Source organism: Homo sapiens, chromosome 3 (genome assembly GCF_000001405.40).
Source record: "Homo sapiens chromosome 3, GRCh38.p14 Primary Assembly".
Lineage (NCBI taxonomy): Eukaryota > Metazoa > Chordata > Mammalia > Primates > Hominidae > Homo > Homo sapiens.
The window spans coordinates 38,845,363-38,867,098 of NC_000003.12; the positions used below are offsets into that span (position 1 = coordinate 38,845,363).

The 21,736-nt window shown below is 38.1% G+C and overlaps 1 protein-coding gene across 7 annotated transcripts in view; it reads right to left on the reverse strand.

The window, feature by feature from the left end:
* The window catches only part of SCN11A (sodium voltage-gated channel alpha subunit 11), a 206,181-nt gene continuing 184,846 nt past the window's right edge, over positions 402-21,736 (reverse strand). For all 7 annotated transcript variants that reach the window (NM_001349253.2, XM_047447378.1, XM_017005650.2 and 4 more), the window contains 3 exons: positions 17,833-17,937; positions 5,119-5,389; positions 402-2,380 (listed from right to left, as the gene is read on the reverse strand). In NM_001349253.2, the coding sequence (NP_001336182.1) occupies positions 1,332-2,380; positions 5,119-5,389; positions 17,833-17,937 (1,425 nt within the window). In that variant the 3' untranslated portion in view covers positions 402-1,331. The remainder of the gene's footprint in view (positions 2,381-5,118; positions 5,390-17,832; positions 17,938-21,736) is intronic.

The following is a 21,736-nucleotide window of genomic DNA, read 5'->3' on the forward strand; positions in this document are numbered from 1 at the left end:
ATCTCTCACCCCGTGCCCCACGTGTTGCTAAGAGGGTACTCTCTCTGTCCAAGGTGCCCACTGCAAATATCTTAACCAGCCAAGTGGGGCTCTCTTTTCAGTTTCAGCAAGTGATGTGCTGCAGTCAGCTTGAGCCAGCTCTCAAGAACTTATTATGAGCATCTCTTCTCAACTCCACGTCCAGTAACATGTTGATAGCTTGAAATCAGCCATAATGGGAGTACTCACACCACAGAGATTAGTGAATGCTATAAAGCATGGCTTTCTTTTTCCTGAACAGTCAGTTGTTAAACACTTGTCAGATACACCACTGGTTCTAGTCTTTAATTGCAAGCAAAGCACCACATTTAAACCACTACTCACACAACCACTGAACAAAAGGGGAATATTAGTGTACTACCTGAAAGGAACACAAACAGAAAGCTTTATTGAATTTATATATATATATATATCTGAGATGGTAGCTTGTGAAAGGGTAGTAATTGACAAGTCAAGATTGTGCCTCTAGGTTTTAAACAAACCCAAAATAATTAATGTTGGTAAAAAATGTCTGCAATAAGCTATTCATTTATTGGCAAGTTTTGAATTTTCATTTAGCATGCAAAAGAGCTACATGTGATAAACCACATACTTGCATCAGGAAAATATCAAACAAAAATGATGTATCTAGAAACATAGAAAATACAACTTAAAATTTTAATGTGTTTTTTGTTTCTTATTCTTTTTTGTTTAGATATAATTTGAACCATGTTTCTTTTCTTTTCTTTTTTGAAACAGAGTCTCACTCTGTCACCAGGCTGGAGTGCAGTGGCACGATCTTGGCTCACTGCAACCTCCGTCTCCCAGGTTTAAGCGATTCTCCTGCCTCAGCCTCCCAAGTAGCTGGGACTACAGGCGCACGCCACCATGCCCAGCTAATTTTTGTATTTTTAGTAGAGACGGAGTTTCATCATGTTGGCCAGGATGGTCTCGATCTCTTGACCTCGTGATCCACCTGCCTTGGCCTCTCAAAGTGCTGGGATTACAGGCATGAGCCACTGCGCCCGGCCTGAACTATTTCAATCCTAAAATTGGTATGTCCTTTTACAGTCCTTCCTGGTGTCTTCTTCCTTATTATAATAGTACCACTGGTTGTCAAGTAGCCTTATCTTATATCTCTGTAAGTATTATTTAAAATGAAATTGAAATATCATTTATTTTAGCCAGAAAAGAAAATGGAATGGCTAATTTGGTGAATCCACTCCCTGTTGATACACTAAGCTGCTGACCCCTGGAGCTCAGAGGCTGAAGGCAAGGCTGTGAAGCTATGAGGTAGGCGTGGAGGTGAGGGCTCAGTCACAGTGGACCTTGCCCTTGGCCACCCCAAAGCTAGACAAGTCTCCATTGCAAAGAGTCTGGAGTGGTGAATGAGGCCCGTTTTCCAAGTCATTTTGGTCACCTTGGTCACCCTTGGTCACCTTCATCATGTACTTTCGAAAGGCCTTTTGAATAATAGCAGCACCTCTTTCCTCTTCCTTTCTCTTGGTGGTGGTGACTATGGGTTCATACAACTTCTTGAGAGGATTGGCTTCCATGAACTTCTCTTCCATCATTGCTTTCATACTATCTAGGCCATCAGAGCCACCGAGTACCCTAGCGGTGAAGGCGAAAAGAATATCCATGCAGTGGAGGCGATCTTCACTCACCATGGGCAAGTCCATTACTAGAAATTGATATTTATTTGGCTTTGCGACACGCAAAGGCTCAGGCAAGGCATCAGCAAAGTCAGAAAGGGCAGAATATTTGATAAATTGTGTTGCTTCTGGGTCAAACTTTTCCCACACTTCATAAAATATGTCAAAGTCATCTTCACCCAAAGGGTCCTCACTTTCTTCAGTGGCTGTATTGAAGTTCTCTAAAATCACAGCAATGTACATGTTGACAACAATGAGAAAGGAGATGATAATGTAACTGACAAAGTAGGATGTGGCTATGCCAGGGAGGTGGCAGTTTTCTGAGGAAGAGTTACATGATTCTTTTGATCGCAGCATGGGGCTGAGCAGGGAATCCCAACCTGCTGATGTGCTTATCTGGAAGAGACAGAGCATGCTGCTGGCAAAAGTCTTGAAGTTGAATATGTCATCGATTCCAGACTCTGGATTCACTTTGGAAAACCAGTTCATACCCAGAATGGCATAGATAAACATAATCAGAAAGAGTAGAAGACCAATGTTGAACAGAGAAGGAAGCGACATCATCAGAGCAAAGAGGAGAGTCCTGATTCCTCGTGCAGCCCGGACAAGCCTCAGGATTCGGCCAATCCGAGCCAAGCGGACAATTCTGAAGAGCGTCGGAGGGAAAGGAATGTGCTCCTGATTTTCCAAGGTAGAAATCATTGTACCTCAGGAGAAGGAGAAAAGTAAATAAGTTTCCAGAAGGCACACTGGTTTCAGATCCAGCCTGTCTCCTGCCTCAGAATCCTATGGGGGCCAACTTTTTATCAATACTTTGTAGCTTATGTACAAAACTAAGAATTTCTTTTACCACTATCAGGGAAAATACCTATCTGTGTCTTAATTTGGAAAATAGTTTCCAAGGGCCATACAGTTCTTCTACATTTGTGTGTAGAAGAATTTAAATACAGCCCTACTACAAGTGAGGACAGCTTATCTGCTGAAAGAGCCACAATGTCTGTAGGGCTAGAGGGAAATGGTAGCATTGGAATGCTCACCTTTAGGCTGAAGCTGCCCATGGATCTTTCATAATTGTCATCCTCATTCCAAGGACTTCTGAGATCCAAACTCAAAAAGCTGAAGGGACACAATTTGGAGATACTTTCTCTGTTGCTGCAAACCCCATAAATGTCATTTCAGAGGTTTGATCAAACAGCTGAATATTTGACCTAAAATGTCGCCCTGCCTGCTCTGCAGGCAAGTGATACAAGGATTTAAGACAATTCACATTTTGGCCTAAACATTATAGAATGGTTGGAACATGCTTGTCTTGTGTAGACATGGCCTTGTTCTTGCTTTGAGAGTCTTCTAGGGTTGTTAGGGGTCATGGGCAGTATTTGAGTGCCCATGACCCCTAATGACCTTGAGTGTCCTGTAAGGTCACTAGGGGTCTATTAGGGTTCATGGGCAGCAGAATGCTCTGCTGTCACCTAATGACTAAAGAGAACTAGTTGATTATATACTTCACTGACTACCCAATTGTGCCAAAGAAGTTTAATTCATACTTTAATTGGAAAGTCAACCCTGGAAAGATGTAAAGTTTCTTAAGTGCCAATTCAGCAACAACTGGAGGAGGCCCATCATTTAAGATCTACCTCCTCTATGAATATTTCTTGGGCTGATCAAGCCCATAGTAATCTGTTCTTTCTCTGAGCTCATTTCTGCTTTGCACCATGTGATTTGGTGTTCAATTAATTTCCCTATCTTTTTTTGGCACTTTAAGACGAGTAAGCCGTAATACCTCAACTAGATTGTTAACTCCTAGAGAGAGATTCATTTCAACTCACACTCATTTTGCATTTCTCCAAAAACTTAGGAAAGAGCTTGGAAAAGTACTGAGGCTAAAGCGTTGGACGGCAGAAATATTGGCAAAGGCATATAAAACTCTGTCCACATTAGTAAGTAGGATTAATATATGGATTAATCCTACCGCTGAGTATTATTTGGCTTAATATGTAGATTTTCTCATCCACTGGGGCAAATGCCATACAGCATGTATAACTGCAATTGCCAAGCAGTTGTTCAAAGGACAAAAGTCAGAAACATTTCCGCAAAGTGCATGATGCCTGGCACTGCATGGAAGGAGCTGTTGGAATGAATGAGCTTCTCTTTTCTCATCAGAGGAAGGGCTCTTTGAGTTCTTAGAGGGCCTCCCCAGACATCTGACCACCATTTTCTAGCCCTTTTTTTTTTTTTTTTTTTTTTTTTTGCTGCTGTCAATTTCACCAAGACTTGTGATTGGAATTGACTAATAAAAATTAAAGGTCTACTTAACTGTAAACTCATGGAAGAATCTATTGATAAGCTTTATCTACATTAACATCATGGCTTAGAAACCAGAACACACTATGAACTGTAGCATATTTGTTGTTGTTCTCTGAAACATCTGCAATGCTGCAGTAGCATTAGGAACCAAAATATCTTGATCCAATATATCTGTTTGATGCATTCTTTCTGAGATCGCAAAAAAGCTTCCATTTGGAAAATCAGTTTTCTTTGTCTTCATTGTGTTTTGAACTATGAGAAGGGCTCCTGGACAGTTTTACATAATTATAAAATGTCAAGTTAACAGTTTAATTAAAACCAGACTTCAAAAACCCAGAGTAAGCACTTATGGTTTAGCCATGAAGAATTTAATTTTAAAGTTGATGTGTGTATGTGTGTGTTTTATAAGAAGGAGTATGGTAATAACCTTCTTTCTTTTGTATTCTTTTATAAGCCTTTTAGTTAACCCTGCGTGTGATTAGGAAAAATATACTGATTAGAGAATGAGGCTGGTTGGTAAGCGGGGTCAAAGAATCTGAGACAAGCACAGTTCACACTGTGGTTTAAGTTAACATGGGATATAGAATAGAAAAAAAGCTTTGATTGTCTGAATGATATACTCTTGAAAGCCCAATCTAGAGTGGGCCATGGGGCCTTGTATAGGGGTTGAAAGGGGGCACAGCAGTGCCACAGGGGCACAATAATTGTGATCTGGCACCCATGTGGATTTTGAACAAAGGAAAAAACATGGGCAGTAAATCCTTAAAACTAAAAAATGCTCATAGGGCTTATAGTTGCACAGGAAAGGTAGAACTTTGACTCAATTATCTGAATAAATCAGGTTACCACCACAAAAACTTCTGAGTCATTTTAATTTTGTCTATTTCCATTGAATACATTAGCTGCATGATTATTGAACTCTATTTCAGTTGTGTAGTGAGTTAAGGGAACAGAAATTACTCTCTATCTCCTAGCAACTTCCCAGTAGAGAATGGCATTAGTACCCCTGTCTATTCTTTCAGAAAGTACACTTGGCCCAGTTTTCTGCTTTGTGGATAGTTTGAACAAACTTCAAAAAATGATAAGATTTACAAACTTACTTCTGGTTCTTAAAGTCCCTCTGACTGCTGATTTTACTTACTAACAATGGAAAGAAGCACGACCACACAGTCAAATAAATTCCAGCCATTGGTGAAGTAGTATTGCCTCAAAGCAAAGATTTTGATGAGACATTCTAACGTAAAGATGACCACAAAGACCCAGTTGAGATGGTCAAGGATGGATTTCATGGCTTTGGGTTGGTTGTATGATTCAGCCATCATGCTAATCATGTTTAGGATAATGAGACTTATGATGATGATGTCAAAGATCTGGCTTGTGACTATGTCGAACACGAGACCTTGACATTTGTTCTGAGAAAAAAAAGAAATTATAAATCATTTTGAATGCAAGAATAAAATTACATACAATAAAAAGAACATAAATACAACAGAATTTGTTTTTCCTTACAATTAAAGCAGTTCCTTGAAAAATACACAGACCCTTTTCAAAGGGCAAGAAATTCTTATAAATCCCCAGGCTTGCCTTATATATTTTCATTAAAATGTAATTAGTAACTGGTTTTAAGTGCTTGGGCTTATAGCTTTAATTCCATTTTAAAACAAAAAATATTAAAAAGTCTTAGTAACAACATAACTTTGATGTGATTGATGATGTGCTTTGCTGAAATAAAACAGTGCATGTTGGATTTAATAATAAAAAGATGAATCTTGGTATCTATATTTTATCTGTTTCTGTATTCTTACTTCAACAATATTAGTGCAGAGAATACCTGCTCACATAAGTATGTTGGACAAAATGGAATTAGTATCTTCAATGCTCCATTTGCCAATTCACAATAATCAGAACTTAACCAAAATTCTGTATTCAAATAATTCTTCAATGCCAATTTTAAAATTCTTGTTCACTTGAAGATAAAGCTAATAGATGAGATTATAATCCAATAATTACTAAAACTGAAAATAGAAAAAAATGATTAATTTATACTATAACTGAGGGTGAATTTACATGTGGTTTATATATAGATGGCCATACTGCCCAAAAAGTGAGTATATGCTGATTGTTCAGGTACAGGTCCTAACTCAAGTTTGCATGCCAAGTCTACCATATGCAGTGAAATTACTCAATTATTCCATTATTTTCTTTAATACAACTGCTGTGAAGCACTACTTTGTTCTTCACTTTGTGGAAAACTATTCCTAAATACAAATTCAGACATTGAAATTTTATAACATTCTTGACTATACGTTGGTTGCTTTACAATCTGTGTACATATTGTTTTATATTATATTATCACCTAATCAAAGTGGCATACACTATTATCTTTAGAGAACTCACATACTCCTAAGAATACATCTTTAGACACCCAAGGGATCTGTTATATAATCCAGGCAAAGATGATGTTGGCTTGTGGTGGTGACAGCAGATAAAGATAAAAGCATATAGGCTTAAGAGCTAATGTGAGGTGGAAGCAAGAACCGTCAGAGAATTCAAATGTAGTGGGCTTTGAGAAAGTTAAGACTGAGAATATAGTTTCCGGTTGATAAAACCATCTAACCAGCCAGAGAACAGAGGATGAGGAATATTAAAGAGAGATGATAAGATCTGACCTGAGCAGGTTGAGTTGAGGTGCCAGTGGGGGGTCCAAGGGCAATGGGCAGGTAGAAGTATGAGTTTGGAGTGCAGGTACAGAAGCTAGAATACAGATGACATTAATACTGATATGAATTAAAACCACGGGAGTGAATTATATATCACTTGGGGAGAGCAAGGGCAATGAGAGGAAGGAGGGTAGGGACAACACTGGAGGACACTACATTTCAGTTGTGACTTTCGAACCATGTGCTGGGAGCCCCAAGGCTTTTATCAAAGAGCCAGGAGAAGACACTAGAAAGTCAAGTGCCTTTCCTATTTAAGCATGAATTTGGGAAGTCAGAAAGGAGCTGGAGAAAAGGTGCACTCCAGGGAAGCGGAATGAAGGGCAAAAAGAAATATGAGGGAGGGTGAGTATTGGTTTTATAGTTAACTCTAACATCTAGACAAATAGAGGAGATTAAGAGCATAAATTACCTAAAGTGTTGGATTACCTAAAGTGTTGGATGATCAAAAAAAGCATTCTATGTCACTTCAGAACGCAGTGTGACTCCTATACCTCAGTATGAATTTTAAACCAAGAAATGAAGCCACCCTGTGAAGATGCTTCAGGAGAAATCGAAGTGATTCCAAACCCCTTGTTCTATTACTGGAAATGAAATGCATCAATGCTCAGGCTAAAACAGCTATGTTTTCCACCTATGCAATTGCTCTTCGTTTGTTTCGAGGGTCAAAAGCTAATATTTGGATTTTAGAGATGGAAAAAAAATCTCTGGGGAGATAAAGTTGTGGGTCAATGGCTAACTGTTGATTTAAAGTCTAAGCCCAGACTCAGGGACTTCTGGTGATATGATGTTGGATTTATCTCATGCGACACTAATCTGGAATATAAAAGTCAAGATAAACGTGCAGTGTTAGGTGGTGAGATTGTATTTGATTACCAGAATCATTCATTGAAGGCTTGATTGGTGAGTTGTAGCTACACAGGGAGAGCTGTGATTTTGCACCTACTTCCAGATAAGCCATGTGATAAGCATGCTATAAAAGATGGCTAAGGAATGGAGGTGACAGCTTTCCTATGTTAATGTTGTCTGCACCCACTTTCAGTTCATCTCTTGCAGCCTAGCATGCTCTGTGCAGTGCATCTATGTGTTGCAACTTTTGTTGGGCTGTGTGCTGTGTTGCTTGAAATAAACTGATAAATATGTCAGAACATATTGTGTCTTGTGACTCTTTTAGTTAATGCCAAACCCAAGACCAACTGATAATGAGTCAGTGGTTGTATAGCATGCATATGTAAACAAAAATTCTCTCTTTTCTTGTTGTTGGCTCAAGTTCAAGTAAGAATTTTAAAGTGAAATTAGTACTAGAAAGTGAGATTGGTATTTAAAAGCTAGATTCAATTTAGGTAAACTGAAGTCCCATAAACCGCTGGCAGATTAAACCTCCCCAAATATAATTTTATCATTAACCCTGTGGTCAAAAATCTCTCACTATATAAAAGATAAATTCTAAATCCTTGGCCCTGACATTCATTGACTTTTTTAGTGCATCAAAAATACTTCATTTTAGTGTGATGGACTCTGTTTGTGCCTTAAAACATATTTTTTTGTTCAATAAATAATTACTGAGAACACATTTTATGCCAGGCCCTATTCTGGGTGCCGAGAATAGCAGTAAGTAGACTGCATTCATCATTTGCGATCTCATGTTCAAATGGAAACCTCCAAATTATCTGCATGCTTCCGATTGCAAGCCCTTCTTTCATCCTGCTTTCCCTGACTTTTCAGCCTCCACTGACCTGCTCTGCTATGGAGCATTCAAACTCACTTGTCAGAGCTACCAACTCTGTTGTGCCTATTGTACTACTTTATAACCCAATGCTCTAAAGTATGTATACAACATCTCAGCTCCTCAATTAGACTGCAAGCACAGAGCTGCCCTGGATGCTACTTCTATCTTGCCCCATAGTACCTGATAAAGCAGGATTCATAGAGCACAGGGATCAGCAAACCATGGCCTATAGGACAAATCCAGTGACCTATCTGTTATTGTACAGCCCATGAGCTCAGAATGGGTTTTACATTTTTAAATGTTTGGTGAAAAAAAAAATCAAAAGAAGAATAAAGTTTTGCGACATATGATAATTATATAAAATCCAAATTTCCATGTCCCTAAATAAAGTTGTGTTGGAATACAGGCATGTTTATTTGTTCTATATTGTCTATGGCTGCTTCTGTACCACAATGGCAGAGTTGAGTACTATGACAGAGACATATAGCCAGCAAAGACTGAAATATTTACTATCTGGGCCTTTAAGGAAAAGTCTGTCAATCCCTGATATACAAAGTTTATCATAAATACTTGTAAAGTGGAAGTAAGTATGCATGACCTTAACCTCACACTAATAAAAACTGGTAAAAAGTATTACAAGTACATTTTAAACTCATCAAAATTGAAAAAAGCAAAAACAGGAAGATGGGAGATAGGAGGCAGGGCTAACGTGCATCTCGCACTTGGATGGACAGAACAGTGTGTGGAGACTCACACTGTGGACTTTTGCTTCAAGAACCACCGCAGGAACGTAACAGGAAAACCAGAAGAATTCACAGATCCTTTGAAAGAAGTGACATGCCACTGCAGACTGCACGAGACAGGTGAAAAGCCGTGAGTTCCCAAAGTGTGAGTGAGAGGGGGGAAAACCTGCCTCCAAACACACATCCCCACTGGGGAATCTGAAAATGCAGATCACGAGAGAAGGTTGTAACCTTACCTAGAGCTGAAATGACTTTAGGGAGCTGCATGAAGTGCAAAAGTAGAAGAAGCAACAGGAACCTTGAAGGTACTCCCAGTCTCCAGCTTGGGCCCTGGAATGCCATTCCTGACTGTATCTCACAGGGGTCTTCTGAGAAGGCAGCCAGCCAAATAAAAGGAGGGGCCATAGGGTGAAAGAAACTTCCAACTAGATTCTGTGATAATTTCGACTGGGCACAAACTTCCTTGAGCAGAATCCAGGGGGCTAACGGGAGTTGCTGCAGATACGAGTGCAGGAGCTGCTGACATTGTGGGCAGACAGGGAGGGATGTGGCCTGAAAGCCATGCTTGCTTTGTCAGCAGGGAAGCTTATGGCCTGGGGCAGGTCTGAGATCCCTGAGTAGGCTGCCTGGATCTAAACTTGGTGCAGTTAGCACGGTACTGCAGGAGCAAGACCAGCCTCACCAACTGTGTGGGAGCTGGGCGAGGCCTTTCACTACTGGCTATCCCCCACTTCTCTGGTGATCTATACTGCACAGCAGAGGTAGCCATAATCCCCTCTGGAACATAACCTCATTGGCCTGAGGACCACTTCCTCATCCCCCACAGTGGTTATGGCAAGCCCCACTCAAGGAGAGTCTGCACTTGGACCTGCCTAACCCTGCCCTCACCTGATGGTTTTTCTCTACCTGTCCTAGTAGCTGAACACAAAAGACATAAACCCTTGGGAGTTTTATGGCTCTGCCTGTCTCCTGAAAGTCAGAATACCTCCCCTGGCCAACTTAGGGCAAGCGTATATCCCACTGCTAATAGCACAGTGGTGCTCTCTTGAAAGCACCACCTCCTGGCTGGAGGTCAACCAACTCAGGACATGACTGCAATTCATGACAGAATAGCCCTGATCCCAGGAAGGAGAAAACGACAGCTAATTCTACTGCCTGCAACATCCTGACTAACCAGAGGTCCTGAGTCTGTCCACGTGACAACTTCACTGCTAGCATAACCAGCATTTGAGAAAGCCAGCATACTAAATGTATCTACAGCCAAGGACTCTCACAGAGTCTACTTCACTCTCCTGCCACTTCCACCAGAGCAGGTGCTGGTATCCACAGCTGGGAAACCTGAAAACAGATCACATCACAGGACTCTTTGCAAACATTCCCCAGCACCACCCCAGAGCCTAGTAGCCCTGCCAGGTGGCTAGAACCAGAAGAGCAATAACAATACTGCAGTCTGGCTTTCAGGAAGCCCCATCCCTAGGGAAGGGGGAGTGCACCACATCAGGGGATCACCCTGTGGGACAAAAGAATCTGAAGAGCAGGTCTTGAGTTCCAGATCTTTCTGCTGGTGGGTAGTTTCTCACAGCAGAAACACAATTGCAGTGCTGGCACAGTAGGGAAAGTCTGCACCTCTAGCCCAATGGGCAGGCATCCTCTGTGATTGTGAAGGGCCTTAGAAAAGAGGTCCTTGTTTTCCTCTGGCACTTCACTGCAGACACAGCTGGGGCTTCCCCCACAGGAACACAGTATGGAGGCATCTATAGACAGCCTGTCTGGAACAATCCAGGGTGAGTGCGGCCCCAGAGAAGGAGCACACCCTAGATTCAGGCTGTGTGAGAGGCAGAGTCACAGTTCCTCCCTACTTGGAACATCAACATTCCTACAGATGAAAAGAGGTGGCTGTCTGATCTGAACAGCCAAAACACTGGGATAGGAGTGAGGCTGTGAGGTGAATAGCTTTCTGGCTGACCTGGCAGAGGAGCTGAGGTAGCTTCTACTCTTCACCCTGATAAAACCTCAGCGCATCTAACTGAGAGGTCTCCCAGCCACCTTCATCAAGGCTGGGACCTCAGCCCACTGTTGGGTATTACATTTACCCACCTGCCTTAGCCATAGCCAATGCCTACTCAGGGATACCTTCTCTATTGGCCTGAAGCCTGAATCATCAAGTCAGTAAATAAAACACTGGGAAAAAATAAATAAATAAATAAATAAAAATGTACACCATGAGAGAACCAGATAAGCTGCAAGAGATCCCTGCCATTCCAACTCCATAGGAGACAGTGAACTTGCCAGCACACTAAGACAGTAACTACTACAACCAGCATCAGGGAAAGCCAGTGCACAATGACTCTTTATAACTAAGGATCTCATACAGAGTCTTTACTCCTACAAGCACCAATAATCAAATTAGGCTAAAATACACACTGTCCTGATGTTAAAGAGGGAAAATATTTTAAATTTAAAAAACACAGTTCAATTAAAAATAAATCCAAGAACAATTTTAAGTAATAGTCTACCCAAGTGAAAAGGAACCAGAAAAGTAATTCTGGTAATATGACAAAATAGGTTCTATAACACCTCCAAAAGATCATACTAGCTTCTCAGCAATGGATCCAAACCAAGAAGAAATCTCTGAATTTCCAGATAAAGAATTCAGAAGATTTATTATTAAGCTAATCAAGGAGATACCAAAGAAAGGTGAAAACCCACTTAAAGAAATTTAAACAACAATACAAGATATGGATAAGAAAATTTTCCAGAGAAATAGATATCATAAAGAAAAAATACTCACAACTTCTGGAAATGAAAGAAACACCTACGGAAATGCAAAGTGCCATGGTAAGTTTCAACAATAGACTAGGACAAGTAGAAGAACTTTAGAGCTCAAAGACAAAGCTTTTGAATTAAAAGCCAATCAGACAAAGACAAAGAAAAAAGTTTAAAAAATGAATGAAGCCTCCAAGAAATTTGGGATTATGTTAAATGGCTAAACCTAAGAATAATTGGTCTTCCTGATGAAGAAATCTAAAGTTCATAAAACTTATCTGAAGAAATAATTGAGGAAAACTTTCCTGGCCTTGTTAGAAATCTAGACAACCAAATAAGAAGCTCGAAGAACTTCTGGGAAGTTCATCACAAAAAGATTATCACCTAGGCACATAGTCATCAAGTTATCTAAAGTCAAGATGAAGGAAAGAATCTTAAGAGCTGTGAGACAAAAGAATTAGATAACCTATAAAGGAAAACCTATCAGATTAACAGTTAACTTCTCAGCAGAAACCTTACCAGCTGGAAGGAATTGGGGTCCTATCTTTAGCCTCCATAAACAATATAATTGTCAGCCAAGAATTTTGTATCCAGTAAAACTAAGCTTCATAAAAAGAGGGAGAGATAAAGTCTTTTTCAGACAAATAAATGCTGAGAGAATTCATCACCACCAAACCAACACTGCAAGAAATGCAAAAAGGAGTTCTAAATTATGAAACAAACCTTGAAATACACCAAAACAAAACAAAACAAACAAACAAACAAAACCTCCTTAAAGCATAATTCTCACGGGGCCTATAAAACAACAACATAATTTTAAAAAACCCAACAAAGTATTTAGGCAACAACTAACATGATGAATAGAACAGTACTTCACATCTCAATACTAACGTAGAATGTAAATGGCCTAAACGCTCCATTTAAAAGACATAGAATTGTAGAATGGATACAAACCAAGCATCTACTGTCTTCAAGAGACTCACCTAACACATAAGGACTCATATAAACTTAAGGTAAAGGGTGGAAAAAGACATTCCATGCAAATGGAAATGAAAAGTGAGCAAGAGTAGCTATTCTTACATCAGACAAAACAGACTTTAAAGCAACAAAAGTTAAAAAAGACAAAGAGGGACATTATATAATGATAAAATGATTAGTCCAACAGGAAAACATCACAGTCCTAAATATATGTGTACCTAACACTGGAGCTCCCAAATTCATAAAACAATCACTATTAGACCTAAGTAATGAGGCAACACAATAATACTGGGAGACTTCAGTATTCCACTGACAGCACTAGACGGGTAATCAAGACAGAAATTAAACAAAGAAACAATGGACTTAAACTATACCCTAGAACAAATGAAATTAACAGATATTTACAGAACATTCTACCCAACAACTGCAGAATATACATTCTATTCATCAGCACATGGAGCATTCTCCATATCACATGGAGATAGACCATATGATAGATCACAAAACAAGTCATAATAAATTTAAGAAAATCGAAATCATATCAAGTATCCTCTCAGACCACAGTGGAAAAAAACTGGAAATTAACTCCAAAAGGAACCTTCAAAACTATACAAATACATGGAAATTAAATAATCTCCTCTTGAATGATCTTTGGGTTAACAATGAAATCAAGATGGAAATTTAAAAATTCTTTGAACTGAATGATAACAGTGACACAACTTATGAAAACCACTGAGATACAGCAAAAGTGGTGCTAAGAGGAAAGTTTGTAGCATTAAATGCGTACATCATAATGTCTGAAAGAGCACTCACAGACAATCTAAGGTCAGATCTCAAGGAATTAGAGAAAGAAAAACAAGCCAAAGGCAAATCCAAACCCAGCAGAAGAAAATAAATAACAAAGATCAAGCAGAAATAAATTAAACTGAAACAAAAAAAATACAAATGGTAAATGAAACAAAAAGCTGGTTATTTGGAAAGATAAAAATGATAGACCATTAGTGAGATTAACCAAGAAAAGAAGAGAGATCAAAATAAGCTCAATTAAAAATGATACAGGAGATAGTACAACTGATACCACAGAAATACGAAAGATCATTCAAGGCTACTACAAACACATACATGCACAAATTAGAAAATCCAGAGGAAACGGATAAATTCCTGGAAATATACAACCATCCTAGATTAAATCAGGAAGAAATAGAAACTCTGAACAGACCAACAAAAAGTAGCAAGATTGAAACAGTAATAAAAAAATTACCAACAAAAAAAAGTCCAGGACCAGATGGATTAACAGCTGAATTCTATCAGACATTTAAAGAAGAATTGGTACCAGTCCTACTTATGGAACCGCATTTGCAAAATTATAACTGAGGAAATTATGATAGTGAAAGAAATCACACCTAATGGACTCCATCTGCTTCTAACCTTTAAGCTGTCCTTGTTCATTCCTGGGCATAGGCTGAACTAACTTTGGGAAGGAATTCAGTTCATGGCTTGACTTTGAAACAAAATTGATAATAGATCTTTCCCAAAATGACCCCTGCTCTTGCCTGGGGACCAGTCTGCCTTTGCAGGACTAACAAATTAGCTACAAGATTAGAAATTAAGGTTTAGGGGTCATGCAGCCCCTGGGCTCCAAGAGTCTGAACCTCCTCAAATTGCTCCTGGGGATAACATCAGTACAGTACTGTAAAACCTAAGATCAGTGCTTGAGATATTTTGCAGACCTTGCACTGGATGGATCAGCTGACACCACCCAGACCCATAATCTGCCTCAACCAGTTCTGCCATTCCACCCAGGAACAGAAGATAGCAAGAAAACCTCACTTCGACCCCCTATGATTCCATATCAAACCTGACCAATTAGCACTCCCCATTTCCCTAGCCCCTACCCACCAAATTATCTTTAAAAACCTCTGATCCCTGAATGCTCGGGGAGACTGATTTGAGTAATAATAAAACTCCCATCTCCCACACAGCCAGCTCTGTGTGAATTACTCTTTCTCCATTGCAATTCCCCCATCTTGATAAATTGGCTCTGACTAGGCAGGGGGCAAGGGTGGTTACACTAACACTAAAAGATAGAGAAAGAGGGAATCCTCTCTAAATCATTCTATGAAGCCAGTATCACCCTAATACCAAAACCAGGAAAGGACACAACAAAAAAGAAAACTACAGACCAATATTCCTGATGACTATAGGTGCAAAAATACTCAAAAAATACTAGCTAACTAAATCCAACAGCATATCAAAAAGAAAATCCACCATGATCAAGCAGGTTTTATACCAGGAATGCAGGGATGGTTTAACATACGCAAGTCAATAAATGTGATACATCACATAAACAGAATTAAAAACAAAAATCATATGATCATCTCAACAGACACAGAAAAAGCATTTGACAAAATTCAGCATCTCTTTATGATAAAACCCTCAGCAAAACTGGCATAGAAGGAACATAGCACAAGGTAGTAAAAGCCATTTATGACAAACCCACAGCCAACATCATACTGAACAGGTAATGGTTGAAAGCATTCCCTATGACAACTGGGACAAGATAAGGATGCCCACTTTCACCACTTCTATTCAACATAGCACTCAGAAGTCCTAGCCAGAGCAATCAGATAAGAGAAAGAAATAAAGAGTATTCAAATTGGAAAAGAGGAAGTCAAACTATTGCTATTTGCCAAGGCTATGACTGTATACTTAGAAAACCCTAAAGACTCATCCAAAAAGCTCCTAGATCTGATAAATAAATTCAGTAAAGTTTCAGGATACAAAATCAATGTACATAAAACAGTAGCACTGCTATACACCAACAACAACCAAGCTGAGAAACAAATCAAGAATTCAATTTATTTTACAACAGCTGCAGAAAAAAATAAAATACTTAGAAATATACCCAACCAAGGAGATGAAAGATCTCTACAGGGAAAACTACAAAACACTGCTGAAAAAAATCATTAATGACACAAACAAATGGATACACATCCCCTGCTCATGGATAGGTAGAATTAACATTGTGAAAATGACCATACTGTCAAAAGCAATCTACAGACTCAGTGCAATTCCCAACAAAATACCACCGTCATCCTTCACAGGACTAGAAAAAAAAATCTTAAAATTCATATGGAACCAAAAAAGAGCCTGCATAGCCAAAGCAAGACTAAGCAAAAAGAACAAATTTGGAGGCATCACATTACCTGACTTTAAACTATACTACAAGGCCATAGTTACTGAAACAGCATGGTACTGGTATAAAAACAGGCATGTAGACCAATGGAACAGAATAGAGAACCCCCCAAAAAAGCCAAATAGTTACAGCCAATTGATCTTTGGCAAAGCAAACAAACATAAACTGGGGAAAGGACACCCTATCCCACAAATTGTGTTGGGATAATTGGCAATTTGCATGTAGAAGAATGAAGCCAGATCCTCATCTCTCACCTGGTACAAAAATCAACTCAAGATGGATCAGACTTAACTCTAAGACCTGAAACCATACAAATTATAGAATATAACATCAAGAAAACTCTTCCAGATATTGGCTTAGGCAAAGAATTCATGACCAAGAACCCAAATGCAAATGCAACAAAAACAAAAATAAATAAATGAGACCTAATTAAACTAAAAATCTTCTGCACGGCAAAATAAATAATCAGCAGAGTAAAGAGACAACTCACCAGGTGGGAGAAAATATTCACAAACTATGCATCTGACAAAAGACTAATTTTCAGGATCTACAAGGAACTCAAACAAATCATCAAGACAAAAACAATTCTATCCAAAAGTAGGCAAAAGACATAATCAGACAATTCTCAAAAGAAGATTTACAAATGGCCAAGAAACATAGAAAAAAAATGCTCAACATCACTAATTATCAGGGAAATACAAATTAAAACCACAATGGGATGCCACCTTACTCCTGCAAGAATTATCATAATTTAAAAATCAAAAAAATAATAGATGTTGGCATGGATGTGGTGAAAAGGGAACACTTTTACACTGTTGGTGGGAATATAAACTAGTATAACCATTATGAAAACCAGTATGGAAATTCCTTAAAGATCCAAAAGTAGAACTACTATTGGATTCAGCAATCTCACTACTAGGTACCTACCCAAAGGAAAAGAAATTACTATATGAAAAAGACACTTACACATACCACATGTTTGTAGCAGCACAATTCGCAACGGCAAAAATGTGAAACCAACCTAAATGCCTGCCAACCAAAGAACAGATAAAGAAAATGTGGTATATCTACACCATGGAATACTAGTCAGCCATAAAAAGGAATGAAATAATGGCCTTTGCAGCAACCTGGATGGAGTTGGAGACCATTATTCTAAGTGAAGTAACTCAGGAATGGAAAATCAAGTATTGTATGTTCTCACTTATAAGTAGGACCTAAGCTGTGAGGACATAAAGGCATAAGAATGATATAATGGACTTCAGGGAATCAAGGAGATGGGTGGGAAGAGGGTGAGGAATACAAGACTACACACTGGGTACAGTGTACACTGCTTGGGTGACAGGTGCACCAAACTCTCAGAAATCACCACTAAAGAACTTACACATGGAACCAAAAACCACCTGTTCCCCAAAAACTACTGAAATAAAATAAAATAAACTGGTCAAAATTAAGTTCAAACAAACCACTAAGTTCACATGGTCGCAATAAGTATTTACTTAAGCACATATTGCCTGGCTCACTCAAAAATAAATTTAAGTTGTTGTCCAGGCTCTTACTTTTGAGTTTGAGTATCTAATTTTCCTAAGTGTTTGAATATGTCTTGACTTCTGTTGAGTCCTTAATGTCTGCAAATTTTAAGAATAAAGAAGGATGGCATTACGGAAATTTGAGTTCCTCACAGTAACTCAACTGTTCTACATATTTACAGTCATTCAATTGCTCTCACCAGAGGCCGTGGAATGGGTTTTTGAGGTTTTTTGGATCCTAATTTTTTCATTGCATTATAGTATTTCTTCTGTTCTTCTGTCATAAAAATGTCTTGGCCACCTAAGTATATGGAGAAGATAAGAGCTAATTACCTTTAACAGTTTTTTTTTTAATCTAGTTCTGAATTTTTTGACACAATTTTAAAGTTACATTACATTTCTATTAACAATTCTTAAAATTTCAATGGTAAGCTTAAGAGACTGGACCATAGCGAAATGCTGTAAAGAAACAAGATTTAAGTTAAGGTATACAGGAGAAATAAAGTTACCTTTATCAGTTATTTTTCACTTTTTAGAACAGAAAGGTTACAAATCTTCGCAAATATACACAGAATCTTTACAAAAATTTGATATATTTCAGCTTGCATAAATCAAACCATGATGCAACAAAAATAGAAATTAGTACAAAAATTTAGACAAACATCTCATAAAGGGCAATTGAATTTCTCTTAAATAATGAATACACATAACACTACTAACAAAGCTGCATAAAATCTGTTCAGAGCCACTCTCAGGGAAAAAAAAAAGTTCTAACTATTTTCACTACTGAGCAAGAAAGAATAGAAAAATGAACTAGGATTCTCATATCTGGAAATTTGGGGGCAAAATATTTAGAAAGGCTAGATAAACTAGAACAGAATTCTTTTAAAATGTAAAGCTGAACTGGCATAAAAGTAAGAAAAAAATTGGGGGTCTGAAAATTGAGAGATCAAAAAGATAGACTAGTAAATTAGCCCAAAGCCATGGCTGGTCTTAGAACATTTACTAATCTCTGTAAACTAGAATCTCAGTTTTTAGTAAATGTAAGGGGGTAATGGGAAATAAGGCCTACGCAAAGACAGGAGAGGCACAGATGTCTTTGCAAGAATATGGGACTATCCAAAGGTGGCCAACAGAAGGGTAAAGAAAAAAACCCGAATCTGTCTGTTGGTAATGGAAGACAACCAGAAAATTGTCTCAATCCAGACTATGAGTAAAAAGCCAGTCTTCCCTGATCATTTGTGACTTCAGGCTTACTTTGATGAGGGTTTGGGGTTTGACTTTACTCCACCAGCACAGATAAAAATATGTAGCCCTAGAAGTCAACCTAAAAATTAATCAAGTTGTTCTGGGATGCTGGGAAGAAATTAGTCTTTTAGTAATCATATATGTCATAGTAGTATTAATACCACTATTCTGAGACTGTAGTGTGTGTATGTGTGTTGTGAGATAAAGAAAATGAGTAATTGTGGAAATTTTAAATTCTATCATCTTTGCCTTTGAGAATAAGGTTTCTCAGTGTGGAAAGGGGGAGATATAGATGTTAAGTGAAAACTTTGTAGTCCTGAATTTGAGTAATCAGTATGCAAATTTCCACTTATATATTTCCTTGTAGTCCTGAATTTTAAGCAACTCTGTCCACTAGAAAGGCTTAGAAACAATGACAATGAGCATTCTAGACTGTGGTCTTGGAAACCGTTTCCCACAAAGAAACAAACAGTTTTTAGAGAAATAGCTGATTACAGAACTAGGGCAGGAAGGGTACAACCTAAACTTGGAACATCGTGGCATTTCAGAGAACAAGAAAGTTGTCAAATGGAAAGACCTTATGTATTTGAATCCTGATTTGAAAACAAACAAACAAAAAGCTTCAACAGAAACAAATAAGCAAATGAAACACAGAATTAATAAATAAACATTTTTCTTTTAAATTAAAGGCTCAGACCAATTTGAAAATAGACTCGGTATTTGATGAATTTAAAGAACTCACATTAAACTTTTTGGTGTACTAATGGAATTGTGGTTATGTTTAAAAAGAGATGTGTTCTAAAATATTTATGAATCAAATGATGTGATGTCTGTGGTTTGCTCCATAAAAAAAAATCTGGTGGCAGAGTTGAGTAAGGGCGTATATGGCTTAGAACAAGCACATTCTTAAGTCAATAAATGTTGTGCTAGGTGATGGGTATTTTAGGTTAATTCTAGTACACTCTTATGCATGTTTGAGATTTTCTGTAATAAAAAGTAAAACAAGACAAAACAAAAGGATATAGTGGATTGTTCAAAACGATGATTTCTAATGTAAGCTTAAATCTAAAATCACAAAGACTGACATCCAAATTGCAGGTATTGATAGCAATCAAGATGCATATTACAGAGAGGATGCTACATCACACACTCCTGAGTAGCAGAAGCAATACAGTTTGTGTAACAACAGGGAACAACTTTCCCAGCAGATGCTAAGAAGGCTAATTGGTATCAAGGTACATTTTGGATGAATTATGAGAGTCCAGAGGAAAAATAAAAGAAAGCCATAAAACAATTAGGAAAACCAAAGGAGAATATTTAGTTACTTGATTTGGGGATTGAGAAATGCCTTTAGTTCATAAGTACAATTAAAAAAAAGCCAAAAATAACAAGATTGGGAGTTTGACTCTGAAAAATACTAATGTCTATAAGTTAAATATGTTATTACAAAAATATAAGATGCATGTCACAAATTGGACTTATATAAAAATGCAATCTCAGACTTAAAAATAGACAAATGATATAAATAAAAAACTCTTAAAGGAGAAATACTTGTGGCCATCAACCTGTGAAAAAGTGTGTAACCTCACTAATGATCAAATAAATAAATATAAAACAATGAGATAATACTTTCCCCACCAGTCTAAAAAAGATAATAAATATATAACAATTAGAATGATGAGATCTCAGTAACCATGCATTTTCATATTCTGCAGAATAAGGGTACCTAGCACAGCATTTCTGGAAGGTATTTTGACAATATGTCTTCAATGCTTTTAATATTGTAATTCTAGGAATTTATGCTGAAGAAATAATCAGAGATACACAGAATTTTAAAAATGGTCATAATTGTTTTAGAAGAGCAAGAAATTTAAAAACAACCTATAAATGTCCAAAGAGGGGAATGATCAGGATAAATTATGGTCTATCCATAATATGCAATGTAATTCAGCCCTGAGAATTCCTTTTTTTTTTTTTTCTCTTTTTCCTTCTTTGAGATGGAGTCTCGCTCTGTTGCCCAGGCTGGAATGCAGTGGAGCGATCTCGGCTTACTGCAACCTCTGCCTCCCAGGTTCAAGCAATTCTCCTGCCTCAGCCTCCCAAGTAGCTGGGATTACAGGCGTGTACCACCACAGCTGGTTAATTTTTTGTATTTTTAGTAGAGACTGGGTTTCACCATGTTGGCCAGGCTGGTCTCGAACTCCTGACCTCAAGTGATTTCCCCGCCTTGGCCTCCCAAAGTGCTGGGATTACACGCATGAGCCACCACGCCCTGCCAGAGGCTCTGAGAATTCTTATAGCAAAGTTAATTTTATGACATAAGCTTATAACTAATGAGGTCAAAACTACAAAATTAAAAATATAAGGTAATCCTAACTGTGTAAAAGTAATACGAAGTGACTGGAATGGATTATATCAAAATCATAAGAGGCATGGTCTAAAGTGGTTATCATTTGGTGGCCACCTTTGGGTGATTTAAATTTTCTTTTTATCTTGATTTTCCACATTCACTACAAAGCTCCTGTGGATTTTAGAATCAGCAAAATAAACATGTGTTTATTACAATGCATAGGGAAGAAAACCTCCCTAGCCCTGCCTCTTCCCCAATCATCTTCTTTCCGAGTAGGGTGGATAGATCTGCTGAGGCTTGGGTGCTGGGGGCCAGGACACACTGGCAGGAAAAGGAGAGTATATTAGTTTTATAGTGGATAATAAAGTGCATTTGAAAGGTTATTAAAATATGACCCTAGTGTCATATTTAATAAATACTAATCCTGGTGGTTGTTGTTCTATTAGGGTTCAGTTATTAATGGGTTTCATCTCAATAGTAGCAATGTCCATTGATTAAGAAGGTAA